The sequence below is a fragment of the Homo sapiens genome, chromosome 5, assembly GCF_000001405.40.
Source record: "Homo sapiens chromosome 5, GRCh38.p14 Primary Assembly".
Classification (NCBI taxonomy): Eukaryota; Metazoa; Chordata; class Mammalia; order Primates; family Hominidae; genus Homo; species Homo sapiens.
The window spans coordinates 150348208-150370704 of NC_000005.10; the positions used below are offsets into that span (position 1 = coordinate 150348208).

General features: G+C 49.2%; 1 protein-coding gene and 1 long non-coding RNA gene across 52 annotated transcripts in view, besides 5 other annotated features; one reads left to right on the top strand and one right to left on the bottom strand.

Annotated features, from left to right (window-relative positions):
* Nucleotides 2271–2400: an enhancer, noted in NCBI's record as "active region_23400". NCBI's record gives its function as "activates an Ori minimal core promoter by ATAC-STARR-seq in GM12878 lymphoblastoid cells {active_cell/tissue: GM12878}" and the evidence as "EXISTENCE:reporter gene assay evidence [ECO:0000049][PMID:35858748]".
* Nucleotides 5066–9213, bottom strand: LOC105378226 (uncharacterized). Of its 2 annotated transcripts, XR_944407.3 has the most exons (4): nucleotides 8299–9213; nucleotides 7361–7463; nucleotides 6768–6956; nucleotides 5066–6073 (listed from the first exon to the last, which is right to left on the bottom strand). It is a non-coding gene; the product is annotated as an uncharacterized LOC105378226 (long non-coding RNA). The 2 variants fall into 2 exon arrangements; XR_007058993.1 differs by having other exon boundaries at nucleotides 5066–6956.
* Nucleotides 8508–8677: an enhancer, noted in NCBI's record as "experimental_82342 CRE fragment used in MPRA reporter constructs". NCBI's record gives its function as "activates a minimal promoter by MPRAs in K562 erythroleukemia cells, with activity observed for both the introgressed and non-introgressed 5:149736363 variant alleles {active_cell/tissue: K562}" and the evidence as "EXISTENCE:reporter gene assay evidence [ECO:0000049][PMID:34662402]".
* Nucleotides 9278–9617: a silencer, noted in NCBI's record as "silent region_16507". NCBI's record gives its function as "represses an Ori minimal core promoter by ATAC-STARR-seq in GM12878 lymphoblastoid cells {active_cell/tissue: GM12878}" and the evidence as "EXISTENCE:reporter gene assay evidence [ECO:0000049][PMID:35858748]".
* TCOF1 (treacle ribosome biogenesis factor 1) overlaps nucleotides 9490–22497 on the top strand; it is a 42597-nt gene continuing 29589 nt past the window's right edge. For all 50 annotated transcript variants that reach the window (XM_005268502.5, XM_005268504.5, XM_005268506.5 and 47 more), the window contains exons 1-6: nucleotides 9490–9647; nucleotides 12949–13004; nucleotides 15906–16045; nucleotides 19637–19710; nucleotides 20509–20695; nucleotides 21322–21395. In XM_005268502.5, the coding sequence (XP_005268559.1) occupies nucleotides 9540–9647; nucleotides 12949–13004; nucleotides 15906–16045; nucleotides 19637–19710; nucleotides 20509–20695; nucleotides 21322–21395 (639 nt within the window). In that variant the 5' untranslated portion in view covers nucleotides 9490–9539. The remainder of the gene's footprint in view (nucleotides 9648–12948; nucleotides 13005–15905; nucleotides 16046–19636; nucleotides 19711–20508; nucleotides 20696–21321; nucleotides 21396–22497) is intronic.
* Nucleotides 9698–9917: a silencer, noted in NCBI's record as "silent region_16508". NCBI's record gives its function as "represses an Ori minimal core promoter by ATAC-STARR-seq in GM12878 lymphoblastoid cells {active_cell/tissue: GM12878}" and the evidence as "EXISTENCE:reporter gene assay evidence [ECO:0000049][PMID:35858748]".
* Nucleotides 14422–14561: a silencer, noted in NCBI's record as "silent region_16509". NCBI's record gives its function as "represses an Ori minimal core promoter by ATAC-STARR-seq in GM12878 lymphoblastoid cells {active_cell/tissue: GM12878}" and the evidence as "EXISTENCE:reporter gene assay evidence [ECO:0000049][PMID:35858748]".

The following is a 22497-nucleotide window of genomic DNA, read 5'->3' on the forward strand; positions in this document are numbered from 1 at the left end:
TATGCACAATATTATGTCATTTACAAAGAGTTTAAAGCTACAAAGCAACACTTTCTATGTTTTATGAATGAATACATGTATAGCATGTATACATAAACATGTGCAGGAACAACTCATGCCAACTTCCGGGAATGGGCTGGTGACTATCTCTGGGCAAAGGGAAGGGAAATGAACTGAGATGCTCTTATGTATTTGAAATGTCTTTTTTCACAATCTAGGCCGGCTGCTGTGGCTCACACCTCTTATCCCAGCACTTTAGGAAGCCAAGGCAGAAGGAGGATCACTGGAAGCCAGAAGATCGAGACCAGCCTGGGCAACAATGCAAGATCCTGTCTCTACAAAAAGTTTCTAAAAATTATCTGGGCATGGTGGTGTGTGCCTGTAGTCCCAGTTATTCTGGAGGAAGAAACAGGAGGATCGCTTGAGCCCAGGAATTTCAAGCTGCGGTGAGCTATGATCACCATCTCAGTTCAACCTGGGTGACAGAGCAAGACACTTGTCTCTAAAAAAAAAAAAAAAAAGTAAAAGAAATCTACGCAGGGCATGGTGGCTCACACCTTTCGCAGCACTTTAGGAGCCTGAGGCATTTGGATTACCTGAGGTCAGGAGTTCGAGACTGGCCTGGATGACATGGTGAAACCCCATCTCTACTAAAAATACAAAATTAGCTGGACTTGGTGGCGCATGCTTGTAATCCCAGCTACTTGGGAGGCTGAGGCAGGAGAATTGCTTGAACCTGGGAGGCAGAGGTTGCAATAAGCCAAGATCGTGCCACTATACTCCAGCCTGGGCAACAGAGCAAGACTCTGTCTCAAAAAGAAAGAAAGAAATCTAGATCATGGGAACATGGAACTGTATGTGTGTGTCCCTGCATTTTTCACATGCCAAATATCTTAGTTATTAAAAATCAGGGAGCTGGACAGTTGCCCTAAGGTCAATTGTCTTCCAGGTCACTGATTACTGTTTGAGAGTTTCATCTGGAATTAACTTCCCATTCATTGGCCCTAATTCTCTTCCTTAAGGATCCCATGTGAAAATCCAATGGCTAATGGCATGCATGCGGACTAGCTCCTGCCCTCAGCAGGCTGACTGTTCAGGCTGGCAACTGTGAGAGGAGGCCGCGTCTCCCAGCCACCCCCTCCATTGGCATCTCCCTCCACCTTCTCCCACCACCATCCCTCGCCACCCGTCTGGCCTTCTCAGCAGATGGTAGCTCATACAGCCTGTTTTCTTCTGTAGAAAGTCCTTGACAAGCCCAGAGGGAGGCTCAAAGAAACCCCACCACTTTTTCAGCGGAGTTGTCTTTGCTAACCATGGACTAGGCTCAACAAGGGACACTCAGTGGGAAGAACTGAGCTGGGAGTCAGGACAACTGCTCTTGACTTGCTGGGTGACTTTGAGTAAGTGACACAACCTCTCTGAATCTCGACAGGTACACTGAGGGAGGTGTGCACTTCGAAACCTTGAAGCCTCAGAATCCACTAGAGAGATTTTAAAAGCCCAGATGTGGGGGTCCCAAAATGGGAGTTGCTTGATGTGAGGCCTTGGAATTGTATTTCCATTGACTAGCCGGGTGATTCCACTGCACAGCTAAGCTTAGGAATCATTAGACAATCGTGGCAGGTTGGACATTCAGATATGTGAGCAAACTCTGTCCACATCGCCTATTTTCTCTCCCCACCCCCAGTGCCTTCCTGCATCCTTGTTAATCATCATCACCCTGAATAGTTTATGCCAAGCAGGGTGCTGGGTGAGAATGAGGGAGCAGATGAGCTTCCAGAATGAGGCCCCTTTCAGCCTCCCACTCCTTAGTAACCGCAGAGAAGCTGAGAAAGAAGGTGGGAGGGGGAGCCAGCCCTCGTACCCTCCACAGGTGGAGGAGGGTCTGGGGGGCAGGGGCACAGGGCCCATCTGCTGAGTTCCTGACCCTCTGCCCAAGGCCCAGCCTTCCAGCCCTGGAGCAGCTCCTTCTCCCTGTCTCCACCCCTACCAAAGGCAGGAGTCTGCAAATCACAGCATTCTAGAACATCAAAGCAGACTAATGTTTTCCCGATTGCAGCCATTCACTGCTGTCTTACCACCTGTATATTATTTAATTGGTACTTTCTTTTACATTGACTCACTGTTTTTTACTTGAATGCCTACTTTAGCCCCATTCTAAGCAATAATATCTGCGAAATAACAGGTTTGATGTGCTAGTTATTTTTTGTCTAATACACATTAAAATAAATACATAATGATTTCCATTTTAAAATGTCCATCTTTTTATCTCTTGAAGTCACTTTGTGCATCACCACACTTTCAGAAACACTGAGCTAGTCCAACCCTGCCTTTGCACAGAGATGCAAACTGAGGCCCACGGAGGGGTGGAGCTAGCCAAAGGTCCTGCCACTGGGGTGGAACCTGATATCCACAGGTGGCCACACTGGGCAGGCCCCAGGCACTCTGGTGACCTTGACCTTTTGAGAGAACTTTCTTTGGTTGTGCACTGCCCTCTCCTGGCTGGTTCTTCTGCAACACATGACCTCCGGGAGGAAGCAGCCAGGGGTGGAGGCAGGGCCACCTTGTTGCAGAACACAGATGACTGACTGCCCAGGGTTGGAAGGCTGGGCAGTCAGGGAAGGCACCATTGCAGAGGCGGCCTTTGCACTTGGCTTTGAAACATAAATAGGAAACAGTCAAACTTCAAAGAGCAAAAAGGCAGTTCTGTCCAAATGGTGTGAAGGGAGTGAGATGTTCTGAGGACAGAGAGTACTCAAGATTTAGCTGCTGGTTTGGATGATAGGAGACACACCAGAGAACAGACTGGGATGGGCTTTGAATGCCTAAGAAGAAGCTGTGACTTGAGCCTGTGGTCAGCGGTTAAGCTAGGGGAGGTTTAATGAGCAGGGAAGTGATGTGATGCCAAGTGCAGCGTGGAGAGTGGACAGGAAAGGACAAGGCAGGGGCAGCGCAGAGGGAAGAGGATGTGGCAATGGCCCAGGGAAAGGTAGACAGGTAGTTCCCTCTGCCTCTAACCTGCTGGGGTCCTTGTCGAGTCACTTCCTGTCACTGGGCCTGTTTCCTTATCAGCAAGAGGAGTGAGCTGGGCTAGATGCTCTCCAAGGACCCTTCTAGCTCTGAGAAATAAAACCACAAAAATAAGAAATTATGCTGATGAGGCTATGAATTGCTACAACCCTTTTGGCAGTTAATTGGGCTTTAGCTATTAAAATAAAACTCATGCATCCCCTCTGGTCCACTTGCAATTACATCATACAGAATTAAAGCTCCAGTCTGCAAGGATGTATTTACTAGGATATTTAGAGCAACACTACTCTATTAGCCAAAAAACTAGAGGCGAATAACCTGTATCATATCATCTCCCATCTCTGTCTGTTGATGGCCCTACTGAGGGACTGGTTATGAGCCCTCTGGCAGCTGGAGCCTGTCTTGAGCCTCAGTTTCCTCATCTACAACCATTTGACATGCTTTATAGGATGTTGTGAGGTTTTGATTGGTTAGTGTTAGAGCCTGGAAGCACAGCTCCAGCTCACTGCACACACTCAACAAATGATAGCTGTTACTATTACTCAAAAGAGTGTGGCAGATCCCAGCATCTAGAGAAATAGCTCTGCTGTATTGTTATTAGGTGAAAAAAGAGAGTTGCAGAGTTGAGTGTTTAGTATGATTCCCTTTTGTAAGAAAAGAAGCAAAGAAGCCAGGTGCAGTGGCTCATGCCTGTAATCCCAGCACTTTGAGGGGCTGAGGTGGGTGGATCATCTGAGGCCAGGAGTTCAAGACCAGCCTGGCCAACATGGTGAAACCCATCTCTACTAAAAATACAAAAATTAGCTGGGCATGGTGGCACATGCCTGTAGTCCCAGCTACTCGGGAGGCTGAGGCAGGAGAATCATTTGAACCCAGAAGGCAGAGGTTGCAGTGAACAGAGATCATGCCACTGCACTCCAGCCTGGGCAACAGAGCGAGACTCCGTTTCAAAAAAAAGAAAAGAAAAGAAAAAGAAAAAAGAAAAGAAGTAAAGAGAAGTGAAAAAGGAAAAGGAGAAGGAGGACTAAACCTTATGAAGGATGTCTGTGTTTGTCTGGGCAGAGAAAGGATGTGAAGGGATTGAATACCAGGCTTCTTTCTGATTGGGAAATGAAGAGGCTCTAGTGTGGAGAAGTGGGCAGGGAATGGCTAAGAGGGAGGGAAAAATGATGGACTTTGTCTTAATATATCTCTGAATTGTTTAACTTGTTACTTCAGTAACAACTTGTAAACCTTTAAAAGCTCCTGTGAGATTAAAGATTTCGTGTCATTTCACGAAAGGGAAGGAAGTCTTGGGAAATCTACTGGCCAAAATGACTTGGCCCAGGGAAAACCTGTTGTTACAATGGATGAAGGGAGCTACTGGGAAGGGCACCCTTCCCAGATGGGCCCTTCTCTTAAGAGTTCCACTACTGGAAGGGTCTTTGTTCAACAGCTTCATTTAACAGAAGGTAATGCTGAGGACCAGAGAGGGCAAGAGACTGGCCCAAGGTCACACAGCTGAGCCAGGTGAAAAGGGCCTGACTCCTGACAGTAACACAGGGGAGAGGCCCAGTAACCTTTCCCCTGTATCGCTGCTACCTCCCACCTCTGTGTCAGAGCCATTCCTGCTGGGAGAGACAGGTAGAGTGCCCCATCTGTTGAGCTTCCTTCTCTTCTGTTGTTCATTCTTCCTTCATTCATTTCCTAAGTGACCTCGCCGTGCCCTGCATGGGAATCCAAGGTGACTAAAGCATGCTGCTTCCCCAAGAGGCACTCGCAGTTCAGTGGTCTGGGAGCATCTGGCTTCTACCACTAACAAAGGCATTTTCTCTTACTGGTAGAGAAATGCTCTGAGGCTAATTTTTTTTTTAATGCACTGTTTTGTTTGTTGCTGTCTTAATAGTTGCCATGTTATATTTTATCAGTTTAATGTTCTAATTTTGTGCTTGGGCCCTGAGGCAATTCAGTGAAGGGTATGATTTGGAAAATGAGGGAAATAAAGAAATTGTCCACAGAAGAGACAGCCTCCCAGGAGCCGAGGACAAAGCATAAGTGCCGACAATGAATTTTATTAGGAGCAAAACAAAAACAACCTGTTGCCAGACAGAAGGTATTAGACAATCCTGGTGTGGTTTTGTTTTCGTTCTTTAATTTAATTCCAGTTCTGCATTTCTTCCAGGGTCAGCCAAGGATGCACAATCCAGTTCCTTCCCCACTGCCTTCCAAAGCCTTCCACATTCCTGCCTCCAGGCCTAAACTCAGTGAGCACCTTGCCTGCCCTGCCCTCCCTTCTTCTTCAGGAGAGGTCTGTAACCATTCCTGCACTTGCCAATACTTATTAAGTGCCTGCTGTATGCAGGCACTGTGCAAAATGTTGGAAATAATGCAACCAACAAGGCAAAGGTAAGTCTGCCTTCAGGGAGTTTACATTCTACTAAGGCATGCATTCTCAAATGGGGCCTTGATGCCCTCGAGGAAATGAAAACTGGTTCCTGGAGGTGTTGGTGGAAAAAAATCTTAGATCTTACAATGGTTTGTATGCTCATCATGTACATTCATCACCCATCCAGCCACCCAAGCAGAAACCTGGGTGTCACCACCAGTTCCAGCTCCCAGCCCTCTCTGATCTCAGGGGTCCCTCATAAGGCCTGGCCCGTGAAGGATTCCACTCTCTCCCTGCAAACATCCATCTGCCTTGCTTCCCTCGCTACCCAGTGTAGATCCCAGGACCCAGAATTTTAGCATCTCTTTGCCAATACTTTAGACTCCTGTGCCCTTTTTTCCCCACCCATCTGGCAAAGCCCTAGGCCTGGATAAATCCCACTATGTACATACATCTCCCCAGCCTGCAGCTGGGTAGGTGAGCCCTGATGGAGGAATTCACTCAGCAGGACAGGACGAGACACACATACACTAAGGACCACCAACCTCAACTGGGGAGCCAAGGCTGTCAGGCAATTGGGGATTTTGTGGGCAAGTTGCTTCTCAACACTCTGAATGATCATTCTTTCAAACTCCTCACCACCTCTTCTTCACTCTCAGCAGAAGACCTTGCCTCCCACTTTGCAGAAAAAATAGAAGCTCAAAATGAAATCTCCCTTAACATCCCACTATAAACCTACATCTACATCTGCACCCATCCTCTCTTTGTTCCTGCTTTTGGGTTCTAGAGAACTCATCCCTCCTCCTCCCCAAGACGAACCCCCCCAACCCACATGCCTGATCCCAGCCCCTCGCACATGCTTGAGAGAACTTTACTCGCTGATTATCTCCCCTATTTCTTACACTCTTGGTTAACCTCTCTCTCCTGGATCTGCCATTCACTTTTAAACAAATCTCAGGTTTCTTCTACCTTGAAACACACCTCCCCTAACATACATATTGGCCCTAGCACTTTATCTTTCTCGTCCTTTTTATACAAAAACTTCTCGAAAGACCCACTGCCTCCCTCATCCCTCCTGCACTCATCAGACCACTGCCATCTGACCCCCTCCATCATGCCACACATAAATAGCCCTCCCTAAGTCCCCAACAATCTCCACGCCTGTCCATAAACCAAAGCCCAGGGCTGCACCCTCCTCCTATCTGACCTCTCAGAGCATTCCCTCCATCAAGTCTTCCCAGCTTTCTAAAATGTCTCCCTTGGCCTCCTTCCATAAGCCCACTCTCCTGGGCTTTCTCCAAGCTGTCCAGCCACTCCTGATCAGCCTTTGCAGGCAGATCCTTTTGTACACAGCCCTAATCTGTAGATGTACCTCAAAACTTCATCCTGGGCCATCTCTCTTCTCTCTCCACATTCTTCTCCCTGGGTAAGCTTCTCCTCATCCACAGCCGCAATTATCATCTGTCTATCGACAACTTCTCATCTTCATCTCTAGCCCAGACCTCCACGCCACGTCCAAACCCAGGTTTCCAAGAACCTTCTCAACATCTGCATGTGGTGACTGTAAGGCATTTCAAGCTCAAGATGTCTAACATAGAATATATACTTTCACCTCTCTGTCCACATCCTCCTCTCCTCAATCAAACCACCCCCCTGTCTCAGTCCTCTTCTAGTTTTTTCTATCTCAGTGAAAAATACTGCCTACTTGTTTGCACAGAAACCTCAAGGTCCATTCTGACATTGCCTTTTCCTTCCCCTCCCATTCCAACACACCTCTGTGAAAACTTTAGTTCCTGATTAACTCTGGGAACCTTCCACTCTCTTCAACTCCACTGCCACCAGCACCCTCCCCGCTGCCCCCGCCACCTACCACCCGCCCCCCCCCCCCACATACACTGTCTTCTCCCTGGATGCCTGCCTGCACTCCTAACCCTGACTTGTCTTCCCACATCTACTCATACCCACCAGACACACTCCACTCTCCACTGGGCAGGCACACAGGTCACAGTAAAATTCAGATTTCATCCTGTACCTCTTGGGCTTACACCGTCAGTGGCTTCCAATGGCTCTTAGGATGGAGGAAAAAAAACCCTGATGTGGCCAATCCTTCACATGGAGTCTGCCCTCTGCCCACCTTCTACACTCCCCAGTCCCCCTGCTCTCCCTCCGGACTATGCTACAAAGGCCTTTTTGTGTCTATTCTCTCAGCTGTACCTTCTGCCCTAGGCCCTTTGCACAGGTTCTTCCCTCTGCTCAGGTTTCTTCTCTCTGACTCTCCCTTACACACAGTTCTGGTTTCCTCATAACCATTAATTTCTCAGGGAATCCTTCCCTAACTCCCAAGAAAAAAATAGATCCCTCCTTCCTGTTATATGCTTTCACAATAATAGCACACACGCACACAGAGAGCGCTATTGTTCAGAGCTCCTCTAAGCATTTCTGCTGAGAATTCATTTACTCCTTATGACAACCCAGTGAGGTAGAAATTATAATTATCTCCATTGTACAGATAAAGAAACTGAGTCACAGTGACTTGCCCAAAGTCACCTAGTTAATGAGGCAAAGCCAGAATTTGAACCCAGGCAGTGTGACTCCAGTGCAGCTTTTAAACACTATATTATTACATAAGAAAACACTATCCTTTTCCTTCCTGCACTTACCCGCTGTTTGTAACACTGTATTGTATGACTATTAGTTTAGTATGTGTCTCCTCCGTTAGACTGTAAGCTCTATTGGAGTAGAGACAATTCCATCACTAGACTGTAAGCTCTATAGGAGTAGAGACTATTCCATCCCCAATGGTAGGTACTCAATAAATATTTGCTCAAGAAAATGGGAAATGTTGAATGTGTACAGACACATAACATTTTCCATTCAAGTTCAAGACAAAGATAACCACATACCTGGACCTCCTAGGGTTAGGGACTCCTGCGCCCGTAAGAAACATGCTGCCCTCAGATTCTCAATGGGTCGGTGAAGTTAAGAACAGCTCACTCTAACATTCTCCAGCCTACCTCACCTTTTCCCTGCCATCCTTCCCTCAACAACTACAACAGCCTCACATTTAGTATTAATGGTATGTGCTTTGGTTTTAGCAATCTTTTAAAAACACAAAACAGGGTCAACCTCCTCGGAAAAGCCAGTCAGAGACTATCTAATGCCCTCAGAGCAAAGTCCAAACTCTGTTGGGGGTGGGGGAGTTGTAGGCCTTGTCTACTTCTTCATCCTCATGTGCCCTCATTTGTTCCCTCTTCCCCACCTCACCCCACCCCACCTGGACAGCCCAGCAGCGCAGACTAGGGGTTCTGGGTTTAGGGTTCCCAGGCAATAGCAGGGTGTTTTCTCATGCCTAGACTCATGCAGTGCCCTCTGCCAGTCCTCTCCTTTGCACCCAGCAATTTCGGGTGTCTTTATGCCTCAGCTTAGATATCTCTCTGGGGTTCGGTGCTCCTCCTTGGGGCGCCCATAGGCTGCATCTGTCCCTGACAAGGCACACAAGATATTGAACTATAGTTGCTTGGTTACGGACAGTCGTCTCTGTGAGCTTTGAGGGCAACTGCCATGTATTATGCATCTTTTGAATCCCCCTAGCCTAGCCGGGTGCTAGCCCAAGTTAGGTGCTTATTACAGATTTGTTCAGTTAGCGAATGAATCAATGAATAAACTGGCAATTCGTGTCTGGTTCATGGGCACCAAAAACCGTGCGAAATGGATAAATGAGCAGGTAATGGCAGTACAAAGTTCGGATCTAGAGAAAGATCCAGATTAGGGAGTTCAGAGATGAGTAAAACGCAGACCCAGCCATCAGAGAATTAACAAGGAAGATAAATCTCTTCAAGAAGCCAGCCGGAAGGATTAAAAGAGAGTCGTCCAAGTCCCGGCCGGCCCCGGGGGCGGGTCCCTGTCTAGCCCCGCATGCTCCGCGCCAATGGGCGGTATTGTTGATCACGAGTCTCCGCCCCCTTCGCCTTGAGGGGCGGGGCCGGCCACTCCCGGAGAGGGGACTACGTTTCCCGGCGCGCCGCGCGGCCGGAGCGAAAGAGGAGCCGGAAGTGTGGCGCGCGAGGTCTAAGGGCGCGAGGGAAGTGGCGGGCGGGGACTAAGGCGGGGCGTGCAGGTAGCCGGCCGGCCGGGGGTCGCGGGTATGGCCGAGGCCAGGAAGCGGCGGGAGCTACTTCCCCTGATCTACCACCATCTGCTGCGGGCTGGCTATGTGCGTGCGGCGCGGGAAGTGAAGGAGCAGAGCGGCCAGGTAAGCGTTCGTGGGCCGTGTGCGAGGGCCGCGTGCAAGATGTGGAGATCAGCGGCCCGCGGCCCGCGCCCCGTCCCCAGGCGACCCGGCAGGCGCCCGGAGCCGGGTCCCGCAGTGCTCGACGGCGCGGCCAGGGGTACCGGAGGAGCCGCAATCTCTGCCTTCCCACTGCGACTTCAGTTCCCCTGGGCCTCACTTTCCTCATCCGGGCAGTGGGTTGGGCCAGAAAGTGTGCTCGCAGGGGCCGAACTTTGTAATTCCCGCTTCCCTTACCTCCACGCCCTTCCTGGTAGCGGGTATTTTAAGTTTCCTAAGTCTCCCGCCACGTGGCTAGGCTCTGCGCGGCCCCCCCTGGGGCAAGGAGGTTGCTGCGAGTCTCGGGGGTGGATTGCGACCAGCCCCTCGGGGGAGCGCCTGGAAAAGGGACCCTACAGCCTCTTAGTTGAGCTGGAACTCAGGCCTTTAGCGATTGTCTGTACTGAGACGGTCAGCTTTGGTACTCGAACTCGTGGTACAGTCATTTCTTACTTGATTAATTCAACTGTTAATCCGGTACTCAGGGTGCTTCCTGGTGTTCGAATGGTGAGCACCATCTCTCAGCCCTCCTGGAGCTTACACTCTAGTAAGGTAGACAAATCAAAGAATCACAAAAGTGACTATATGCTTAGCACCGCAATAAGTGTTAAGAATGAGAGGGATGGGCCGGGCACGGTAGCTCACGCCTGTAATCCCAGCACTTAGGGAGGCCGAGACTAGCGGATCACCTGAGGTCAGAAGTTCGAGACCAGCCTGGCCAACATGGTGAAACACCGTTTCTACTAAAAATACAAAAATTAGCTGGGCATGTTGGCGCACGCCTGTAATCCTGGCTACTCATGTGGCTGAGGCACAAGAATTGCTTGAACCCGGGAGGCAGAGGTTGCAATGAGTCAAGATCGTGCCACTGCACTCCAGCCTGGGCGATAAAGCGAGACTCTGCCTCAAAAAAAAAAGAGAGATGGATGGCAGATTGCCCTGGTCAGGAATAGCTGAGGTGTAAATGCCTTGTGGTGGGAGGGAACTTGTGTACACACTGGCCTGGAGAAAGTCCACTCTCTTGAGCCCAGGAATTTGAGGATACAGTATGAGCCATGATCATGCCACTGCACTCCAGCCTGGGCAACAGAGCAAGACACTGTCTCAAAAAAAAATTTTTTTTAAGTCCATAGCAGGCCAGGTACGGTAGCTCACGCCTGTAATCCCAGCACTTTGGGAGGCCGAGGCAGGCGGATCACTTGAGGCCAGGAGTTCAAAACCAGCCTGACCGACATGGTGAAACCCTGTCTCTACTAAAAATGCAAAAATTAGCCATGCATGGTGGCATGCACCTGTAGTCCCAGTTACTCGGGAGGCTGAGTCAGGAGAATCACTTGAACCCAGGAGGCAGAGGTTGCACTGAGCTGAGACTGAGCCACTGCACTCCATCCTGGGTGACAAGGCGAGACTCCATCTCAAAAAAAAAAAAAACGTCCATAGTGGCTGAAGTGTGAAGTACAAGGGCCAGATGCCCCTGGGGAGATGGAGGCAGGGGCTGGCTGGAGTGGTCTGGTGGGCAGTTTGATCTTCCTTGGAAGAGCAGTGGTAAACCAATGGAGAGTTTTGAACTGGTGAGACAGTATCCTAAGTAGTCAGATCCCTTTGCCCTGTGGTGTAGGCTCTGCTCCTAATGCTTGCTCTCAGAACCTCCTGGAGGGACTAAAGGGTGATGGGCCCTAAGACGTTATGTATGCTTTTCCCAGTTTCTCTGAACCTCACTTGCTCTTCCTACCGCAGCTATGGTACTTCACAGATAAGGGGAGCAAGAGATAGTACCCATCTTCATTGGAGCAAAATATCCTGCCGTCATGGAGCACACATTCTAGTAGGAGCAGACAGGTGACAAATAGAAAAAGTTTAATAAGTTAATGATATAGTATATCCAATGATAGTTGGTGCTTGCTATAAAAGGCAGGCAAGGGGGATAAGGGATGTCAGACTTCGATTATAAGTAGGGTAGTCAAGGAAGTCTCATTGAGAAGGTGTCATTTGGGCAGAGACCTGAAGGAAATGAGGGAGTGAGCTGTGTAGTTAACAGGGGAGAGAACATTCCAGACAAGAAGAATAGCAAGGCCGCGTTAGAGGCAGGGTGGCCTGACACATTTGAGGACAGCAAGGAGGACACTTTGCCTGAGGTGGAGCAGAGGGAAACTGACTCTTGAAATCTTAGTGTTACCGGCTCACTGCTGGGCACTGACAGATGGTCTTGTTCAAACCAGATAGCAGCCTGCAAGGTAGGTATCGCTGTTGTCCCCATGTTAAGAAGAAATCTGAAGTTCGAAGACGTGACGAGATTAGTTCAGTCCACCCGTGCCCCACATTGCTTAGCCTCATTAGAGTACTTGATATCCTGGCTTATTGACATTTACAGAGACATTGGGCCCTCTGGCCTCTGCTCCAAAGGCCTGGATTCCACCTGGTTCCCTCTGCTTCCACCAAGGGACTGGTACCATTTGGGCCCAGTCTTCTCCCAGCAGACTAGTAGACTGTGGTCATGCCACCTGGATGCCTCAGGTGTCTGGGCTGTGATTCGTGCTTTGGGAAGATTGGCTGGCCACGTCTTTGAAAGCTTTTTTAAAGGTCAAAGGTGGGGAAAACCCTGTCTCATGGCCTCTAGGCATGGATAGTGCCAGAGAGGCTGGGAGCTGGATGAATGCTAGCTTGGAACATTCCACCTCTGGCCTTTCAAAGGGGTTGTCTAAAAAGGTTTTAGTTGGGATTGGTTGTTCTTCTTGTCTCTGGAAGGTTTGGGACAGAACTGGCAGGGCCAAGCAGACATACTTCCCAGAGCAAAAAGACCCTCTTTTTTTTTTTTTTTTTTTTTAAAGAAAGGGTCTTGCTCTGTTGCCCAGGCTGGAGTGCGGTGGCACAAGCATGGCTCACTGCAGCCTCGATATCCTGGGCTCAAGTGATCCTCCCACCTCAGCCTCCTGAGTAGCCGGGACCACCAGTGCATGCCACCATTCTCAGCTAATTTTTAAATTTTTTTATAGAGACAGTCTCACTATGTTGCCCAGACTGGTCTTGAACTCCTGGGCTCAAGTGATCTTCCTGCCTCAGCCTCCCAAAGTGCTGAGATTACAGGTATGAGCCACCATGCCCAGCCAAAAAGACCCTCTTCTGAACCACCTGTCTATACAAGTCATGAGTTTGGGGAGATCTGGGCCCAAGAAGGATCCTTACTGTGCTGGGGATTAATTGTGGCTTTCTCTTTACCTCTCTGCAGAAGTGTTTCCTGGCTCAGCCCGTAACCCTTCTGGACATCTATACACACTGGCAACAGTAAGTGGTGGGGCCTATAGGGTGGAGTAGGGACGGACACCCCAAGCAACTCAGCTTGGAATAAGCTGGGATACCTATCTGGTCTAAGATCTGTCCCCATAGCCCACTGTGGACACCATTGTTGCCTCCAGAAAGCCAGCTCACATCACATGGATGGGTATTTCTGTGTGGATATCTGGTAGTGGGAGGGGACATTGAGAGCTGTGATCTCTTAAGAACAAGAGCTTCTCACCAGCTTGTCAGTTGCTCAGCAAACGTATATTGAGCACCTCCTGAAAGCCAAGTCCTGTTCTTACTTAGTATGCAAATATTGTCACAAGTGAGACAGACATGGTTCCTTCTTTCCTGCAGCTGACATTGTAGCCAAGGAGGTAGGCATAAGTCAAAGAATGAAACAAATGAATGTTAAATTACAGTGGTAGTAAGGATTACAAAAGAGAGGAATCTGTTGCCACAGCCACATAAATGGGTAAGTCTGGCTTCATCTGGGGGTCCAGGGGAAGCTTCCCTGAGGTGATCTTTGACTTGAGAGCTATAGGAATTGGAGGAGTGAACTATGCAGTGGGTAGAGAGTGGCAGGTGGAGTGTACCTGCCAGTGGAAATTGCTAATGCTAAGTCCTGTGGCTGGTGGACAGTACAGATGGGGCTAGGTCATCGCATGGATAGCCATGCATGGGCTGGTTATCCATGGTGAGGAATTTTGTCTTTATCCAAGAGCAGTGGGGCCATGGTAGGGTGAAAAAGTGAGGAGATTGCTCTGCACCATGGTGAGACTGGTGGGGCCATGGTCACCATCGTCCAGGCAAGAGCTGATGGGGCTTGACACAGGGAGAACAGGGTAGAAAGTGGATTCCCAAGAATCATAGGGATGAAACCAGGGCCTGTGGATGGGTGGGAGAGGAAGTATCTTATTGACTCCACATCTAACTTGTGTACCCATGCATAGAGCTTGAAGGGAACTCAGTTTGGAGGGGAAAGATTTCAATGACATGTTGAGTGTGAGATGCCTTTTAAACATGTAAAATTTATGTACTCTTCAAGGAAGGGGGAATCATCCAAGGATATATCAACAGAGGAATGGTTGGAAAATGGAGAGAGTAATTGTGTTCTCTTCATGCACTGGCCTGACCACAGCTGACTAAGGGAGTGAAGGACATGCAGACATATCCCATGAGGAATGGTAGAGAGTACTGAATTGCCTTGGATGGAAAGGAGGCAGGAGAGGGGTGTGAGGGACCACTGCACATCTTTGAGGACCAAGAATAGTGCGTTCTCTGAGGCCCCGGAGACAGAAGTGGGCCCCAAATGTACCTGCTTCAGGAAGACAGGTTTCAGCTTCTGAATATAATGACATCAGAGCTATCTAAAAATGAGGTGGGCTAGGTGGAAGTGGTGGGCTCCCTGTCATTAGAGGTGTGTAAACAAAGGCAAAAATGGTGTGGAAGGGATTACAGCCTCTGGTGGAGAGCTAAGGTCTTTGAAAACCCTGCCAACCCTCAGTCCTCTGCTGCTAAGGAGAGCTTAGAGCACAGGGCACAGCCCACACTTCCTCACCCTGACTTGCCCAGGTGAGTGGGTGTTATTCGTAGTACTTCCTTCCCCCAAAAAACTGCTTCAGTGAGCTACTCTGCACACTCTTCCCTGCCACTGGCCCCTTCTATGGGTGAGGGGGACAAGGACCTCAAACCCACGAAAGGCAGCCTAGCCTAGCAATTCCCTGCAGAGTTCAAACCCAGCAACTAGCTGTATGTATGACCTTGAGTGGATTTCTTGGCCTCCCTGAGTCTGTCTTCACCTATAAAATGAAAATAATGATGGCAATTATCTCATTGCATTGTGAGGGTTAGACACAGTGCTCCATATAAAGTGCTAAAACTACCGGTTGGAGGCTCCCCGACTTCCTGCACCCGCCTCAGTATTTATTAAGCATCTACTACAACCCAGCAATATTCTTGATATAGCTGGGAACAAACCAGAGAAAAATCCCTGCTCAACATTTTTGTTGGGGGAAAAGAGGCAGAATAAATTGATACATGTAAAAATGAAACCTGTTTTTAACAGGAGAATCCTGACAAGTGGCTTTCCTGGGAACAAGGGACCCTACTATCACATCCCAAACCATGACAGAGCAGAGTCCATCGCAGCTGGGAAACCTGGGGCCTAGACAGTGACTCCCTGGGATGGGGGTCAATGGGCGTGAGACTTCAAAGTCCAGGGCCTCAGCCATCTGGGTGCTTATCCTACCCATGCCCTAGACTCACTTTGCCATGAGCAAGTCACTTAGTTGTTCAGTTTTTGAGACATGTGTGAGGCACTGAGGATACTGTAGTGAGCTGCCAGCTGCCTTCCTCCCTGGGCCTTTCTGTGTAGGGGAGGAGTCTAGGAAGTAAGTAAAATAACAGGAGATAGAGAAAAGCTATGAAGAAAATGAAACAGGATCACAGGGCAGAGCATGCCTTGGAAGAGGGGCAATCTTCGAGGGCCTCTCTTGGGGGGCTACATTAAAGTTGAGACGGGAAGGACGAGGACCTGGGCAGAGTCTTCCAAGAAGGCACAGTACACACAGCATGTTCTGCAGGGGGAAGAGCCTGGGCGGTTCTGTGAGGTGCCTGCATGGGTCAGCTCCTATCACTTAAAGACTGGTAGCTGCTGCAGCTGTTATATAACATTATCCAGCATTCCTGATTATTTTAAAGACTAATCAAGAATTGTAAAAGCACTTTATGAAGTGAGTGAAAATGCAGAATACAAAATTGTGCCTATACTGTGTTTTCACCACTGTTTAGATTCTATGCACATTGCCTTTAAGAGCTGGAAGGATGCGGGAAGGTCTGTCTAGTCAATTCTTGTGGAGTTGTTCTGTCACCCAGTTGGTATAGACAGTCACCCTTGTCCTGCAGAACCTCAGAGCTTGGTCGGAAGCGGAAGGCAGAGGAAGATGCGGCACTGCAAGCTAAGAAAACCCGTGTGTCAGACCCCATCAGCACCTCGGAGAGCTCGGAAGAGGAGGAAGAAGCAGAAGCCGAAACCGCCAAAGCCAGTAAGAGCCTTGCAGCTTTGGGAACAGGCTATGGAATATTGATTGTTCTAGGGTAGAGTCTACCTCCAGCTTCTTCTCTTATCACTAGAAGACCTAAAAGACCCTGGGGAGGAGATTGGGAGGGCACCACATATCTTTGGCAGTATTTGAGCCCTTCCTCCGTGCCAGGCATTATATCTCCATGCTCTGGGGGTGCAAGGCCGAACCAAAACAACCAGATGGGCCCTTCCAGTCTCATTTGGTGTATGGGGCCCAGGAGCTGCCCTATTACAGGCTCCCAGGTGATTCTTATTAGCTGGAAAGAAGACACACGTTCAGAAGTACTGCTGGAGGGATTTCAGAAAGCAGCTAGCGGACACATTTTCTGTGTGACCTGTGGGATGCTTTAGGAATTGCTGATCTTCATGTTCATTTAGAATTGTACCCATTAGCACTGGAACGCTGTACTGGGCACTGGTTTTACACCGTTTGCAGGAGTAACTCAGTCAAAGCTTTTATAGCCCCTTCTTCTCCTAAGGTCCCAGGGCTCCTTGTACTTTCCCCAACAGCAGCCATAACTCTACAGAGGAATTGCTGTGTCTCCTTTGCATCGTATTATCTTCTTTTGCTTACATAGAAGACACATTTCTTAATACTTATTTTTTATTTTTCAAGACAAAGTCTTGCCATGTTGTCCAGGCTGGTCTTGAACTCCTGAGCTCAAGTGATCCTCCTGCCTTAGCCTCTTGAGTAGGTGGAATTCCATGCACATACCACCATGCCCAGCTTCCTGAGTCTGCTTTTAAAGTGTTTGAGATCATACTAGGTATATATTTTATTATTTTTTTGAGACGGGGTTTCACTCTTGTCACCCAGGCTGGAGCACAATGGCGTGATGTCAGCTCAGGGCAACCCCCGCCTCCTGGGTTCAAGTGATTCTCCTGCCTCAGCCTCCCGAGTAGCTGGGACTACAGGCATGCACCACTACTGTCAGCTAATTTTGTGGGTTTTCTTTTTCTTTCTTTTTTTTTTTTTTTTTTTTAATAGAGACGGGGTTTCACAATGTTAGCCAGACTAGTCTCAGGTGATCCGCCCACCTTGGCCTCCAAAAGGGCTGGGATTACAGGCATGAGCCACTGCGCCCTGGATATATATTATATATCGCTTAATTTTACATTATAAATGCAAAACGAGTTCACTTTGAACTGTAGAAGAGCATATAGAAGAAAACTTAAAGGTTTTTTGTTGTCCTACCCTGTTCCCTATCATTCCTAAGTGCATCTCCTCATAGGTAACCTTTAAAACTTCCTCCTTTGCCTCTATATTCATTCAAACATGTATTCTTACATGCATATATACAGACCTGCATGCTATTTGAAACACAAATGGTAAAATTTCTTACTGATTGGCTATTTGGTATTAATCAATTTTATAAGCTGTGATAATGGAGGTGTAATTACATTTTTTTGTTTGTTTGTTTGGGGCTTTTTTTGATATGAGGTCTTGCCATGTTGCCTAGACTGGCCTTGAACTCCTGGCCTCAAGTGATCCTCCTGCCTCAGCCTCCGGGTATGTAATTTTATTTTTTTAAAAGTCTTCACTGGGTTGGGCATGGTGGCTCACACCCACCGGTAATCCCAGCACTTTGGGAGGTCAAGGTAGAAGGATCACTTGAGCCCAGGAGTTGGAGACCCGCCTGGGCAACATGGCAAAACCCTGTATCTACAAAAAATTTAAAATTTAGCCAGGCATGGTGGCGTGTGCTTGTAGTTTCAGCTGCCTAGGAGGCCTGAGGTGGGAGGATTACTTGAGCCCAGGAGGTCAAGGCTACAGTGAGCCATGACTGTGCCTGCACTCCAGCCTGGGCAACAGAGCAAGACTGTCTCAAAAAAAAAAAAAAAAGGAAGAAGAGTCCTCGTTGGCATCCTGGGCAACATAGTGAGACTCCGTCTCTGCAAAAAATAAGAAAATTAGCTGGGCATGGTGGCATGCACTGGTGGTCCCAGCTACTCAGGAGGCTGAGATAGGAGAATCATGTGAGTCCAGGCATTGGAGGTTGCAGTGAGCTATGAATGTGCCACTGTACTCCAGCCTGGGCAGCAGAGCAAGACCCTGTCTCAAAAAAAATTTAAAAACGCATCCTCATTGAGAGAGAAACATGCTGAAGTATTTGTGGGCAACGTGGTAGGATCTATGGCATTTTCTTCAAAGTAATGCTTGATGGGGAAGGGTGAGTGAGATAATACATGAGATGAAAAGATTGGTCACAAGTTGTTAATGGTTGGAGCTGCCTGGTTCTTCCTTTCTATTTACTACTTAAAAATTTTCCATAATTACAGAAAGAGAGAGATGGAGTGAAGTGCCAGGAAAAGAATTAGATCATGCCATTCATCTCAGCAACATTCTTCTTTTTTTTTTTTTTTTTTTTTTTTTTGAGACGGAGTCTCGCTCTGTCGCCCAGGTCGGACTGCGGACTGCAGTGGCGCAATCTCGGCTCACTGCAAGCTCCGCTTCCCGGGTTCACGCCATTCTCCTGCCTCAGCCTCCCGAGTAGCTGGGACTACAGGCGCCCGCCACCGCGCCCGGCTAATTTTTTGTATTTTTAGTAGAGACGGGGTTTCACCTTGTTAGCCAGGATGGTCTCGATCTCCTGACCTCATGATCCACCCGCCTCGGCCTCCCAAAGTGCTGGGATTACAGGCGTGAGGCCACCGCGCCCGGCCCAACATTCTTCTTAACAAAAAGAAATCTGAGATTTAAGGAGACAATACCCTGGTATAAAAGCACTGAGAAGCTGGGTGCGGTGGCTCATGCCTGTAATCCCAGCACTTTGGGAGGCCGAGGTGGGCAGATCACGAGGTCAGGAGATCAAGACCATCCTAGCTAACACGGTGAAACCCCGTCTCTATTAAAAATACAAAAAATTAGCCAGGCATGGTGGTGGACGTCTGTAGTCCCAGCTACTCAGGAGGCTGAGGCAGGAGAATAGTGTGAACCCAGGAGGCGGAGCTTGCAGTGAGCCGAGATTGTGCCACTGCACTCCAGCCTGGGCGACAGAGCAGGACTCTGTCCCAGTAAATAAATAAGCACTGAGAATCAGTGAATATCGATATCTAACGGGGCCCAGGTGGCATGGTTCAGCCACCTCTCCACTAAGAAGCCATTTGAATTCCAGGCAACTTTCTCTGTGGACCTGAGGCTGGCTGCCTGCCTGACCACTGCCCCTTCTTGCCGAACAGCTTTCAGGGCTACAGTGTGGTGGCCTGTGTGAATGGTGCCCATTGCAGTGTGCAGTGCCCAGTAGGCAGCAAGAATGTGGGCCAGTCCTTTTCCCTCCAGGGGCCTCCACGTCTCATGCTGCGGGGGAGTTGGGAATCCATCAAGGATGCAGACACATAGCTTCATGTTACCATCCTCTTCTCTCTTGCTCCTGGTGGACCTGGCTGATGCATCACAGAGCTCATTCCTGCAAGTCTGGGCTCAGCCTCAGATCCTCATGCCAGCACCAGGCAGCCAATACCAATAGAATTGTTAGGTGAGATGAAACCTGTTTGCCATTCATAGATGAGAAAAGCTCATCTGGCTCCTTTAGCAGATGTTTGTTTCTTGCAGCCCCAAGACTAGCATCTACCAACTCCTCAGTCCTGGGGGCGGACTTGCCATCAAGCATGAAAGAAAAAGCCAAGGTGAGTGGGACTGCCTTCCAAGCTATTGCCTATGGGATTTAAGGTGCCTGGTAGGGGACAGTCTTACATGTCAGAGAAGGATAGGGTTGTGAGTAATTGCCCCACCTGGATTCAGAGCTCAACCTGTGTCACCAGTTGTGGGATCTTAGTCCCTTCACCTCTCTGGGCCTCAGTTTACTTTTCTATAAAGATAAGGATGATGCCTGCTGCAGTGGGCCACTGGGCACATTCTACACCTGGGGTAGGCGATTTCTTTCCTCTTTCATGCCTGCGTTCACCCGTTCACTCAACAGATCTTGACTAATACCTGTTATGTTCCAGGCACTGTGCTAGGTGTGGAGGCACCGTAGTGATCAAGACATCTGTGGTTCTGAAACTCTAAAAGCATTTTCCAAACTGGAAACTGCTCAAAAAACAAGGTGTCATTTTCTAATAATCCAGAAAGCAGAGTTAGATACATACATGTATAAAGAATTGTGCCTCTGCGATTGCCTGGAGCATTAGCAACAATGTCTCAAAGTAATTATGAAGTAATGATAAGATCAACAACAAACTGCTACTTACCACTTAGTAAATAACTACCATGTCCCAAGAACTGGGATTCTGTTTTCTCAACACCTCTGGTGAGAGGAGGTGCTGTTTTTAACCTCACTTTAAAGATTGGGAAACAGATTGAAGGGGTAGTTTACCCAAACTCACACAGCTAAGAAGTGGTAAGATTGGGTTCAGATGCAAGTGGCCTGTGCTCTTAGTTCACCATGCCATACCAGATGTGTCTGTCACTCTTGTTCTCTGTAGGCAGAGACAGAGAAAGCTGGCAAGACTGGGAATTCCATGCCACACCCTGCCACTGGGAAGACGGTGGCCAACCTTCTTTCTGGGAAGTCTCCCAGGAAGTCAGCAGAGCCCTCAGCAAATACTACGTTGGTCTCAGAAACTGAGGAGGAGGGCAGCGTCCCGGCCTTTGGAGCTGCTGCCAAGCCTGGTAAGAAGTCCCCACCTCTAGGAACCTAGTCCCCAGAACTTGGGCTGGTGAGGCAGGCCTAGGCATTGCTTTAAGTTCTGGGACATTTCTGGAATCAAAAGTTTGTCTCCAGGACAGCCAGGTTCCTGCATCTTAGGACTTTTCTCATCACCTAGACGAGGGAGGGTCAGCTTACAGGGACCTGGCCTCAGGCTGAACAGCCCACCTGGTGGTTGGAGCATTTTCTGCTTTATGACTCCCTGGTGAGTTACAGGGACAACTGGCAGCTCAGAGACTAAACTGAAAGGCCTGATTTGCCTCTGTTTCCTATGTAGAGTAGACATCTGTCTGGCCTGCATCAGTGGATATGATGGTGGATGGAGGTTCTGTAGACTGTCAGGTGCTGGTGCATATTTGTTGGGTCCCCTCACAGCCCTTCCCAGGGCCTCAGAGATGTGTGGGAACATAGGGATGGTGATGGTACCCACCTCAGAAGGGGGCTTCACAGCTCAGTGCATGTGAGGCACACGAGGGGTGAGCGCTCAGCACCTGGCTTTGATGAGCAGCTGGTTTGTGGGGAGGTGCTGGGGAGGGGCAGGTGAGGCTGGAAAGGGAGTCCCTCAGTCCCCTCCGTGTCCGATCCTCAGGGATGGTGTCAGCGGGCCAGGCCGACAGCTCCAGCGAGGACACCTCCAGCTCCAGTGATGAGACAGACGTGGAGGTAATTGCCACCCATCCCTAGGAGTTGCCCTCTCCCAGCCTCTAACCCTTCCAGGAACCTGTCTGGGGCTTCAGACACCAGTGGGCCCAGATGAGTTCAGCAACTGTGGTAGGGTGACCAGGAGCTGGAAAGGCTGCAGCCGGAGAGGGGCAGGGAGAGGAGTCTGGTGCTGCTTGCTGCACTCTGAGTGTGAGATCAGCCCTGGGGGCAGGAGAGGGACACCCTCCTGCCTGTGAGACTAGACAAGCCTTCCTGGGAGAGGTGCCCTGGAGTAGGGCCTCAAAGCACAGTGGGCTTCACTGGGAAGGGATGTGGAGGAGGCAGGGCATTCCAGACAGGAAATGGGGCAAGAACAGGGCCCAGAGGCAACAGTGTGGCTGTCGTGGTCTGGCTAGGGCTGCGGCTGCTGAGAGGGTTCTGGGCCAACTGGTGAATGCCAGGCCTAGACACTTGGCTAGAGTTGGGCAGGACTCTTGGGTTTGTGAACTTTGACCTGGAAAAGGTCTCCACAGGTTACTTTTTATTGTGTACCTACTAAGTGGCAGACCTGGGGAATATAGTGATGAGCAGGACAGGCAGAGTTCCTGCTGCCATGGGGCAAGGGAGCGTCCCTCAGATATTTAATTGGTGATGGCTGCTATGAAGTGGAAATGTAGAGGGCCACGCAGGGCAGGAACCTGACGTTGATGAGTAGGCGTAAGCAGAAGGAATGGCATGTGCAGAGAAGGCGGCAAAGAGAGTTTGGTGCTTTTAAAGAACATTGATCTTTTTTTAAGACAGTCTCACTGTGTCACCCAAGCTGGAGTGCAGTAGCGCGATCTTGGCTAGCTGCAACTTCCACCTCCCGGGTTCAAGCGATTGTCGTGCCTCAGCCTCCCAAGTAGCTGGGATTACAGGTGCACGCCACCACGCCTGGCTAATTTTTGTATTTTTTGTGGAGACAGGGTTTCACCATGTTGGCCAGGCTAGTCTCGAACTCCTGACCTCAAGTGGTCCATGTGCCTTGGCCTCCCAAAGTGCTGGGATTACAGGCATGAGCCGCCACGCCTGGCCAAAACCTTGATCTTTAAATGAGAGGGAGAAACCAGGCACGGTGGCTCGC